Raw genomic sequence first — 12,025 nt, 5'->3', positions numbered from 1 at the left:
CCGCTTTCCGCGCCGAACCGCCTATGTCCGCGAGACTCTCCCTGATGCTCCGCCCCTTTCCGATCACACTTCCCGGATCTTTCGCGCATGCGTTTTGCGTAGAGAACTGTAACGTACCTCTCCGCCGCCTAGCAAAGAGTCCCTAGGTGAACAGCCTGATTGCGTTGATGTCTAATCTATTCAATCAATAACTATTCATCGAGCATCTCGTGTGTGCTAGGCACTGTCTGGGCTTTGGGGGTACAGCACGTGATTAAAGCAAAGTCTTCTGCTGCTAGGGCTTACATTGTACTGGGAGAGACAATAAAAGCATTTAACTGAATAAAGATAATTTGAGGCCAGGCGCGGTGGATCACGCCTGTAATCCCAGAACTTTTGGGAGGCTGAGGCGGGCAGATCACCTGAGGTCAGGAGTGTGAGACCAACCTGACCAACATGGTGAAAGCCCGTCTCTACTAAAAATACAAAAATTAGCCGGGCGTGGCCGTGCGCGCCTGTAAGCCCGGTTACTCTGGAGGCTGAGGCGGGAGAATCGCTTGAACTCGGGAGGCGGAGGTTGCAGTGAGCCGAGGTCGTGCCATTGCACTCCAGCCTGGGCGACAGAGCGACTCCGTCTCAAAAGTAAATAAATAAATAAATAATAAAAGATAATTTGAGATAGTGGCCAGCATAATGAAGAACGATGGAGCAGAATAAAGGGATGGGAAGTGAGAGCGAGGCTGTTTTAGAAAGGGTGATAATGGAAGGCCCCTCTGAAGAGGTAACATTTGAATAAAGGACAGATAGAAGCGAGATCTGGGGTGGGGCCGGGGGGGCGGTGTTTAACAGTAAGTGCAAAGGTCCTGAACTGAGACCAGATGGCAGGAATCTCAGGTTGTTGGCCATGAGATCAGAGAGCTGGCACTTGTTATTTAGAGCCCTGTTCTTAAGTATTGTATCTTAAGTTTTGTGGATGGATTCAATAGCCTGTTTAATAACTACAGAAATTATTGCAAATTAAAATGACTAATTTTATGTTTCAAGAAAAAGGCCGAGTGCAGTGCTCACGCCTGTAATCCCAGCACTTTGGGAGGCCAAGGCGGGCAGATCACCTGAGGTCAATAGTTCGAGACCAGACTGATCAACATGGAGAAACCCCGTCTCTACTAAAAATACAAAATTAGCTGGGCATGGTGGCACATGCCTATAATCCCAGCTACTTGAGAGGCTGAGGCAGGAGAATCACTTGAACCTGGGAGGCAGAGGTTGTGGTGAGCCAAGATGGCACCATTGCACTCCAGCCTGGGAGACAAGAGCAAAACTCCGTCTCAAATAAAAAAAAGAAGTGGGAGGATCGTTTGAGCCGAGAAAGTTGAGGCTGCAGTGAGCCAAGATTGTGCCACTAGACTCCAGCCTGGGCGACAGAGCGAGACTCCGTCTCAAAAAAAAAAAAAAAAAAAGAAAGAAAAGGGCTGGGTGTGGTGGCTCACACCTGTAATCCCAGCACTTTGGGAGGCCGAGGTGGGCGGATCACCTGAGGTCAGGAGTTCGAGACCAGCCTGGCCAACATGGTGAAATCCCATCTCTACTAAAAATACAAAAATTAGCTGGGAGTGGTGGCACGCACCTGTAATTCCAGCTACCTGGGAAGCTGAGGCAGGAGAATTGCTTGAACCCGGGAGGCAGAGATTGCACGACTGCACTCCAGCCTGGGCAACAGAGTGAGAATCTGTCTCAAAAAAACAAATAAAATAGGCCGGGTGTGGTGGCTCACACCTGTAATCCCAGCACTTTGGGAGGCCAAGGTAGGAGGATCCCTGAGATCAGGAGTTCAAGACCAGCCTGGGCAACATGGCGAAACCCCTTCTCTACTAAAAATACAAAAATTAGCTGGACATGGTGGCATGCACCTGTAATCCCAGCTACTTTGAAGGCTAAGGCAGGAGAATCGCTTGAATCTGGGAGGTGGAGGTTGCAGTGAGCTGAGACTGTGCAACTGCACTCCAGCCTGGACAGAGCAAGACTCTATCTCAAAAAATAATAATGATGGCTGGGCACGGTGGCTCACACCTGTAATCCTGGCACTTTGGGAGGCTGAGGCAGGCAGATCATGAGGTCAAGAGATCGAGACCATCCTGGCCAACATGGTGAAACCCTGTCTCTACTAAAAATACAAAAATTAGCTGGGTATGGTGGCACGTGCCTGTTGTCCCAGCTACTTGGGAGGCTGAGGCAGGAGAATTGCTTGAACCCAGGAAGCAGAGGTTGCGGTGAGCCAGGATCGTGCCACTATACTCCAGCGTGGCAACAGAGCGAGACTTTGTCTCAAAACAACAACAATAAAAATAAAATAATAATAATAATAAAATAAAAGGGAGAAATCTGCCAAAGGAAAGGGACAATAGGCTTAACAGAAGTCTGAAACACAGCAGAGAAGACATTAAACTTTAAAGCTCTAGCCTGGCACAGTGGCTCACACCTGTCATCTCAGCACTTTGGGAGGCCGAGGTGGATGGATCACGAGGTCAGGAGTTCAAGACCAGCCTGGCCAAGATGGTGAAACCTCATCTCTACTAAAAATACAAAAATTAGCCAGGTGTGGTGGCAGGTGCCTGTAATCCCAGCTACTCAGGAGGCTGAGACAGAAGAATTGCTTGAACTCGGGAGGCGAAGGTTGTCGTGAGCCAAGATTGCACCACTACACTCCAGCCTGAGCAACAGAGAAAGACTCTGTCTCAAAACAAAAACAAAAACAAAAAAAAACTTTAAAGCTCCAAAATAATCCCTGATTCCATGTTCTGCATCCAAGGCACACTGGTGCAAGGAGTGGGCTCCCAAAGTCTTGGGCAGCAAAGTCCAGCCCCAATGTCTCCTCACACAGGTTGGAGTTTAGTGCCTGCAGCTGTTGTAGGCTCAGGGTGCAATCTGCTGGCAGACCTGTCACTCTGGGATCTAGAGAGGAGGGGTCCCCTTCTCACAGCTCCACTAGGCAGCGCCCTGGTGGGGACTCTATGTTAGGCCTCCAACCCCACCTTTCCCCCTTGGCACTGTCCTAGTAGAGGCTCTCTGTAGGGACTCCAACCATGCAGCCGACTTCTGCCTGGACACCCAGGCTTTCCTACACATCCTCTGAAATCCAGGTGGGAGCTGCTAAGCTTCCTTCACTCTTGCATTCTGTGCACCTGCAGGCTTAATCCCACATGAAAGCTGCCAAAGTTTATGGCTTGCACCCTCTGGAGTGGTGGCCCAAGCTGTACTTGGGACCCTGTGTGTCATGGCTGGTGATCGAACAGCAGGGATGCAGGGGAGCAGTGTCCCCAGGCTGAGCAGGAGACAGGGCCCTGGATCTGGCCCAGTAAACCACTCTTTCCTTATATGCCTCAGAGCCTGTGATGGGGGAGGCTGTTTTGAAGACTCCTGAAATGCCTTCAAGGCCTTTTTCCCATTGTCTTGGATGTTAGCACTTGGCTTCCTTTTAGTCACGCAACCTCTCCAGCAAGGCAATACAGCCTGCTTCTATTTCTCTCCTAAAAAATGCTCTTCCCTTCTCTACCACATTGCCAGGTTGTGACTTTTCTAAACTTTTATGCTGTGCTTCCTATTTATTGATTGATTTTTCAGAGACAGGGTCTCACTGTGTCACTCAGGCTCATGTGCAGTGGCTATTCATAGGCATGATCCCACTCCTGATCAACATGGGAGTTTTGACCTGATCCATTTCCAGCCTAGGTCAGTTCAACCCCTGCTAGGCAACCTGGTAGTCTCCCACGCATGGGAGGTTACCATATTGAAGCCAAACTTAGTATGGACACCTAATCAGCATAACACACTACAGCCCAGAACTTCCTGGGCTCAAACAATCCTTCTGCCTCAGCCTCCAAGTAGCTGGGACTACAGGCATGTGCCACAGAGCCTGGCTGCCTCTCTTTATTTATTTATTTATTTAAGACAGAGTCTTGCTCTGCCACCCAGGCTGGAGTGCAGTGGCGCAATCTCGATTCACTGCAAGCTCCGCCTCCCAGGTTCATGTCATTCTCCTGCCACAGCCTCCTGGGTAGCTGGGACTACAGGCGCCTGCCACCACACTCGGCTAATTTTTTGTATTTTTAGTAGAGACGGGGCTTCACTGTGTTAGCCAAGATGGTCTTGATCTCCTGACCTCGTGATCCGCCTGTCTTGGCCTCCCAAAGTGCTGGGATTACAGGCGTGAGCCACCGCACCTGGTCCAGAACATCCCTTTTTAAGAATGAAAACTTGCCAGGCACGGTGGCTTACGCCTGTAATCCCAGCACTTTGGAAGGCCGAGGTGGGTGGATCACCTGAGATCAGGAGTTCAAGACCAGCCTGGCCAACACAGTGAAACCCTATCTCTACTAAAAATACAAAAATCAGCCAGGTGTGGTGGCACACACCTGTAATCCCAGCTGCTCAGGAGGCTGAGGCAGGAGAATCGCCAAGATCGCGCCATTGTACTCCAGCCTGGGCAACAAGAGCCAAACTACGTCAAAAACAACAACAACAACAAAAAGAAATAGAAGAAAAGAAAGAGAAAGAAAGATAGATTTAAATTATTCGGGTGTGGTGGCTCAGGTCTGTAGTCCCAGCTACTTGAGAGGCTGAAGTGGGAGGATCTGTTTGAGCCTGGGAGGTCAAGGCTGCAGTGAACTATGATTACAACACTGCACTCCAGCCTGGGCAACAGAGTGAGACCTTGTCTCAAGAAAAAAAATGTTAACATCACCAGTGATATGGCATATGGACATCATACACCCCCCAGTATGATATAATGAGAAGAGCAATGCCTCTCTGTGGCATTCTCTCTACCCCCACCCAACAAAAAGTATAACCTCAATCCAAGCAAGATAACAGATCAGAGGAACACAAATTGAGAGACAGTCTACAAAACAACTGACTAGTATTCTTCTAGTTTCCAGATCATGAAAGACAAGGAAAAAGTAACAAACTATCACAGATTGCAGAAGACTAAGGAGGTATGACAACCAAATGCAACATAGTAACCCCGACTGCAGCCTGGCGTGGGAAAAAGACATTAGTGGAAATATAGAAAACCTGAATGAACTCTTTCATTTTGTCAAAAGTATTGTGCCACCTCAATGTCTTGGTTTTGAGACAGAGTCTGGCTCTCTCACCCAGGCTGGAGTGCAGTGGTGCGATCTTGGCTCACTGCAACTTCCACCTCCCGGGTTCAAGCCATTCTCCTGCCTCAGCCTCCCGAGTAGCTGGGACTACAGGCACCCGCCACCACGCCCAGCTAATTTTTGTACTTTTAGTAGAGTCGGGGTTTCACCATGTTGGCCAGGCTGGTCTCAAACTCCTGACCTCAGGTGATCCGTCCCCTCTAGCCTCCCAAAGTGCTAGGACTACAGGCGCGAGGCACTGCTCCGGCCAATGTCTGAGCTTTAACAAACGTTGCCAAAGCAATGCAACATTCTAACATTTGGGGAACCTGGGTGATGGATATTTTTTAAATGTCTGTACAATCTTTGCAACTCTTCTGTAAGGCTACAAATAGTTCAAAGTGAAAATGAAACAAAACAGGCCCAACACAATAGCTCGCACTTGTAATCCCAGCGCTTTGGAAGGCTGATGTGGGAGGATTACCTCAGGTCAGGAGTTCGAGACCAGCCTGGCCAACATATTGAGACCAAAAATTAGCCCGGGCACGGTGGCTCATGCCTGTAATCCCAGAACTTTGGGAGGCCAAGCCAGGTGGATCACAAGGTCAGGAAATTGAGACCAGCCTGGATAACACAGTGAAACCCCATCTCTACTTAAAATACAAAAAAAATTTTAGCCGGGCGTGGTGGCACGCGTCTGTGGAGGTGGAAGTTGCAGTGAGCCAAGATTGGGCCACTGCACTCCAGACTGGGTGACAGAGTGAGACTCCATCTCAAAAAAAAAAAAAAAAAAAAAAAAAAAAGGCAGAGCAGGGCCAGTGGCTCACACATGTAATCCTAGCGCTTTGGGAGGCTGAGGCCAGAGGATTGTTTGAGCCCAGGAATTTAAGATCGGCCTGGACAACATAGTGAGACCTTATCTCTACCAAAAATTTTAAAGAAAATTAGCCGGGCATGGTGGCGCACACCTGTAATCTCAACTACTCAGGAGGCTGAAGCAGAAGACTTGCTTGAACCCAGGAGGCGGAGGTTGCAGTGAACCGAGATCGCACCACTGCACTCCAGCCTGGGCAACAGAGTGAGATTCTGTCTCAAAAAATAAATAAAATAGGCCGGGCGCGGTGGCTCACGCCTGTAATCCCAGCACTTTGGGAGGCCGAGGCGGGCGGATCACGAGGTCAGGAGATCGAGACCATCCCGGCTAAAACGGTGAAACCCCGTCTCTACTAAAAATACAAAAAAATTAGCCGGGCGTAGTGGCGGGCGCCTGTAGTCCCAGCTACTTGGGAGGCTGAGGCAGGAGAATGGCGTGAACCCGGGAGGCGGAGCTTGCAGTGAGCCGAGATCCCGCCACTGCACTCCAGCCTGGGCGACAGAGCGAGACTCCGTCTCAAAAATAAATAAATAAATAAAATAAAATAAAATAAAACAAATGCTACCATAACCTCAGAGAATGACTCTGAGGAATTGGAGAGTCTGACTGTATTATTTTCTTGTTGCCGCTACAACAACTTACCACGAACTTAGTGGCTTAAAACAACACAAGTTTATTAGAATGCAATTCTAGAGGTTAGACGTCGAAAACAGGGCTCTGTTTCCTCTGGAGGCTCTAGGGGAGAGTCTGTTTCCTTGCCTTTTCAAGCTTCGGGAAGCCGCCCCCATTCCTTGGCTCATGGCCGTTCCTCCGTCTTCAAACTTCAAAGCCAGCACCATGGCATCCTCTCTTCTCTGACCTCTATGTCCATCCTCACATCTTCCATGAATCAGACCTTCCTGCATCCCTCTTTTTTTTTGATTTTTTATTTGTGAGACAGAGTCTCACTCTGTTGCCCAGGCTGGAGTGCGGTGGCTCAATCTCAGTGCACTGCAGCCTCCACCTTCTGGGTTCAAGTGATTCTCCTGCCTCAGCCTCCCCAGTCGCTGGGATTACAGGCGCCCACCACCATGTCCAGCTAATTTTTGTTATTTTTAGTAGGGATGGGGTTTTGCCATGTTGGCCGGTCTGGTCTTGAACTCCTGGCCTCAGGTGATCCACCTGCCTCAGGCTCCCAAAGTGCTGGGATTACAGGAGTGAGCCACTGCACCCAGCCACGTCCCTCTTTTAAAGACCCTTATGATTAGTGGGCCTACCCAAATGATCCAAGATAATATCCCTAACTCATCAGCCTTAATTTTTTATCTTTTATTTTTTTGAGACAGGGTCTTGCTTTGTCACCCAGGCTGGAGTGCAGTGGTGTGATCATAGCTCACTGCAGCTTTGACTTCCTTGGCTCAAATGACCCTTCCACCTCAGCCTCCCAAGTAGCTGGATTACTGATGTGCATGACCACACCTGGCTTTTTGTTTTGTTTTGTTTTTGAGACAGAGTCTCACTCTGTTGCCCAGGCTGGAGTGCAGTGGTGCCATCTCAGGTCACTGCAACCTCCACCTCCCAGGTTCAAGTGATTCTCCTACCTCAGCCTCCAGAGTAGCTGGGATTACAGGCGCGAGCCACCCGGCCCAGCTTATTTTTGTATTTTTAGTAGAAATGGGGTTTCACCATGTTTACTAGGTTTGTCTTGAACTCCTGACCTCAGGCAATCCAGCCACCTCGGCCTCCCAAAGTGATGGGATTATAGGAGTGAGCCACTGTGCCTGACCCACCTTTTAAGTTTTGTTCTAACTTCCTGAGCAAAAAAATGGCACCTTGGCTGGGTGCGGTGGTGCACGCCTATAATCTCAGCACTTTGGGAGGCCAAGTCAAGTGGATCACTTAAGGTCAGGAGTTCGAGACCAGCCTAGCCAACATGGTGAAACCTCATCTCTACTAAAAATACAAAAATTAGGTTGGGTGTGGTGGCTCACGCTTGTGATCCCAGCACTTTGGGAGGCCGAGGTGGGCGGATCATGAGGTCAGAAGTTCGAGACCAGCCTGGCCAACATGGTGAAACCCCATCTCTACTAAAAATACAAAAATTAGCCTGGTGTGGTTGCGCACACCTGTAATCCCAGCTACTCAGGAGGCTGAGGCAGGAGAATCACTTGAACCCAGGAGGTGGAGGTTGCAGTGAGCCGAGATCACACCACTGCACTCCAGCCTGGGCGACAGAGCAAGGCTCCATCTCAAAAAAAAAAAAAAAAAAAAAAAAAAAGGCTGGGCATGGTGGCTCACGCCTGTAATCCCAGCACTTTGGGAGGCCAAGGTGGGTGGATCACGAGGTCAGGAGATTGAGACCATCCTGGCTAACACGGTGAAACCCCGTCTCTACTAAAAATACAAAAAATTAGCCAGGCGTAGTGGCGGGCGCCTGTAGTCCCAGCCACTCGGGAGGCTGTGGCAGGAGAATGGCATGAACCTGGGAGGTGGAGCTTGCAGTGAGCTGAGATCGTGCCACTGCACTCCAGCCTGGGCAACAAGAGCGAGACTGTGACTCAAAAAAAAAAAAAAAAAAAAAAAAAAAAACGAGAATGGGAGAAAATAGGAGACAGAGACCAGAAAGATGGTGGACAGAGAGAGATAGAGAAGGCCAAAGACCGTGAAATAAATGGACACAGACCCAGACAGAGGGAAGATAGAGACCTAGAGAGAGGGACATAGAAGTCCAGGGGACATAGAATCCCAGACAGGGTGGGTGCAGTGGCTTACACCTGTAATCCTAGCACTTGGAGAGGCCTAGTACGGTGGATTGCTTGGGCTCAGGAGTAGAAGAGCAGCGTGGGCAACATAGCAAGACCCTGTCTCTACAAAAATTACAAAAAATAGCCATGCATGGTGGCTCACGCCTATAGTCCCAGTTACTTAGAAGAGGTGGGAGGGGCCAGGTGGGGTGGCTCATGCCTGTAATCTCAGCACTTTGGGAGGCCAAGGTGGGCGTATCACCTGAGGTCAGGAGTTCGAGACCAGACTGATCAACATGGAGAACATGTATTTTAGTCTCTACTAAAAATACAAAATTAGCTGGGCATGGTGACACATGCCTGCAATCCCAGCTACTTGAGAGGCTGAGGCAGGAGAATCACTTGAACCTGGGAGGCGGAGGCTGTGGTAAACCGAGATTGCACCATTGCACTCCAGCCTGGGTGACAAGAGCGAAACTCCGTCTCAAAAAAAAAAAAAAAAAAAAGAAGTGGGAGGATCGTTTGAGCCCAGAAAGTCGAGGCTGCAGTGAGCCAAGATTGTGCCACTAGACTCCAGCCTGGGCAACAGACTGAGACCCTGTCTCAAAAAATAAAGAAAGAAAGAAAGAGAGAGAGAAAGAAAGAAAAGAAAAGGGCCGGGTGAGGTGGCTCATGCCTGTAATCCCAGCACTTTGGGAGGCCGAGGCGGGCAGATCACCTGAAGTCAGGAGTTCAAGACCAGCCTGGCCAACATGGCAAAACCTTGTCTCTACTAAAAATACAACAATTGTAGGGTCCAGCCCCACAGGGTCGGTGGGTTTTTCTCCGTTTGCAGAGACGAGAGATTGTGGAAATAAAGACACAAGACAAAGAGATAAAAGAAAAGACAGCTGGGCCCGGGGAACCACCACCACCAAGACACAGAGACCGGTAGTGGCCCCGAATGCCTGGCTGTGCTGATATTTATTGGATATAAGACAAAGAGGCAGGGTGAGGAGTGTGAGACATCTCCAAGGATAGGTAAGGTCCCCTGGGTCACGTATCCACTGGACAGGGAGCCCTTCCCTGCCTGGCAGCCGAGGCAGAGAGAGAGGAGAAAGAGAGACAGCTTACGCCATTATTTCTGCATATCAGAGACTTTTAGTACTTTCACTAATTTGCTACTGCTATCTAGAAGGCAGAGCCAGGTGTACAGGATGGAACATGAAAGCGGACTAGGAGCTGAAGCACAGCATCACAGGGAGATGGTTAGGCCTCTGGGTAACTGCGGGTGAGCCTGACTGATGTCAGGCCCTCCACAAGAGGTGGAGGGGTAGAGTCTTCTCTAAACTCCCCCAGGGAAAGAGAGACTCCCTTTCCTGGTCTGCTAAGTAGCGGGTGGTTTTCCTTGGCACTGAGGCTACCACTAGACCATGGTCCACTTGGCAACGGGCGTGTTCCCAGACGCTGGTGTTACCGCTAGACCAAGGAGCCCTCTGGTGGCCCTGTCCAGGCATAACAGAAGGCTCGCACTCTTGTCTTCTGGTCACTTCTCGCTATGTCCCCTCAGCTCCTATCTCTGTATGGCCTGGTTTTTCCTAGGTTATGATTGTAGAGCGAGGATTATTATAATATTGGAATAAAGAGTAATTGCTACAAACTAATGATTAATGATATTCATATATAATCATATCTATGATCTATATCTACTATAACTATTCTTATTTTATATATTTTATTATACTGGAACAGCTCGTGCCCTCGGTCTCTTGCCTCGGCACCTGGGTGGCTTGCCGCCCACAAACAATTAGCCGCGTGTGGTGGGCGCCTGTAATCCCAGCTACTCCAGAGGCTAAGGCAGGAGAATTGCTTGAATTCAGGAGGCGGAGGTTGCAGTGAGCCAAGATCGCAACACTGCACTCTAGCCTGGGCGACTGCAAGACTCCGTCTCAAGAAAAAGAAAAAGAAAGAAAAGGCCGGGTGCAGTGGCTCACGTCTGTAATCCCAGAACTTTGGGAGGCCAAGGCAGGCGGTCACGAGGTCAGGAGTTCGAGACCAGCCTGGCCAACATGGTGAAACCCTGTCTCTACTAAAAATACAAAAATTAGGTGGGTGTGGTGACGGGTGCCTGGAGTCCCAGCTACTCAGGAGACTGAGGCAGGAGAATCGCTTGAAACTGGCAGGCGGAGGTTGCAGTGAGCTGAGATCACGTCCCCACACTCTAGCCTGGACAACAAGAGGGAAACTCCTCTCAAGAAAAAAAAAAAAAGAAAGAAAGAAAGAAGAAAAGAAGAGAGAAGGAATGGAAGGAAGGAAGACAGGAAGAGAAAGAGTGCCAGGATTAGCAGGGCGTTCGAACCCTTAGTACCTACCTCTCTCCACACCCCCAGCAGAGGGCGACCAGGACTTCTTTCCTGGGAGTCTCAGTGATCAAACCCCTCCACTTCCCCCAAGCCCATCTGATGGAGCTATTTTTATGCAGTGTCACCGGACACCAGTGGCTAGAAGGCCACCGTCTTGTCTCTGCGCCCTTCAGTTCCTGAAAATGACCCTGTGGCATCTCCCCGGCCCACACCCCCAACCCCCGCCCGTTCCGGCAAGACCAGACTCCTTTTGCCAGAGTCATAGCCGCAGCTCAGGTCCTGCTAGGTCTCAGAAAGTCTTGCGAAGAATCCAGGTGGAGACTCTGGAGCGAACTCTGGGGAGAGAATGGGGCGTGTGTGCACATGCTCAGTGGTTTGCAGCTGCCAGAGTGACCCTAGGATGGGACAGCCACCGGGACTGTGGCAGCACCCACATGGAGTGATGGTCAGGGAGAGATCAAGAGATATGACTCCGGAGACCCTAAGTCCTCTAGAGACCCCAAGGGGAGACCCAAAGGGGAGCGGCCGAGGAACCCTGAGACAGAGACATGGAGGGCTAAGAGATAATGAGCAAAAAGAGACCTAGAGAGGAGAGACAAAGAGACCAAGAGAGACAAGAGATAAACGGAGACAGACCAAGAGTCAAAATAAAGGCGGAGACCGAGACGTAGAGGCTGGCAGAGGGACCCATACAGAGGCCCCCAGAACGACGAATCTCAGAAATAAATGACCCATAGAGATACTCAGAGATACATCCCAAAAGAGACAGAGACCCAGAGGGGACAGCCGGACACAGACACACAAGAGAGTGAGAGACAAAGGTGCAAACAGGGCGACTCCAGGCCGGGCGCCGTGGCTCACGCTTGTAACCCCAGCAATTCGGGAGGCCAAGGAGGGCAGATCACTTGAGGTCGGGAGTACCAGACCTGCCTGGCCAACATGGTGAAACCCCTTCTCAACTAAAAAAGA

General features: G+C 50.0%; 1 pseudogene, besides 2 other annotated features; it reads right to left on the bottom strand.

Annotated features, from left to right (window-relative positions):
• Positions 33 to 102: an enhancer, noted in NCBI's record as "active region_14925". NCBI's record gives its function as "activates an Ori minimal core promoter by ATAC-STARR-seq in GM12878 lymphoblastoid cells {active_cell/tissue: GM12878}" and the evidence as "EXISTENCE:reporter gene assay evidence [ECO:0000049][PMID:35858748]".
• Positions 3,599 to 3,897, bottom strand: RN7SL708P (RNA, 7SL, cytoplasmic 708, pseudogene; annotated as a pseudogene).
• Positions 11,012 to 11,171: a silencer, noted in NCBI's record as "fragment chr19:49577315-49577474 (GRCh37/hg19 assembly coordinates)". NCBI's record gives its function as "represses an EF-1alpha promoter that drives an FKBP-Casp9 reporter gene in an ReSE screen in phorbol 12-myristate 13-acetate-treated (for megakaryocytic differentiation) K562 erythroleukemia cells {active_cell/tissue: K562(+PMA)}" and the evidence as "EXISTENCE:reporter gene assay evidence [ECO:0000049][PMID:32094911]".

This window comes from Homo sapiens, chromosome 19 (genome assembly GCF_000001405.40).
Source record: "Homo sapiens chromosome 19, GRCh38.p14 Primary Assembly".
Lineage (NCBI taxonomy): Eukaryota > Metazoa > Chordata > Mammalia > Primates > Hominidae > Homo > Homo sapiens.
This window is presented reverse-complemented; position numbering and strand designations above follow the sequence as displayed.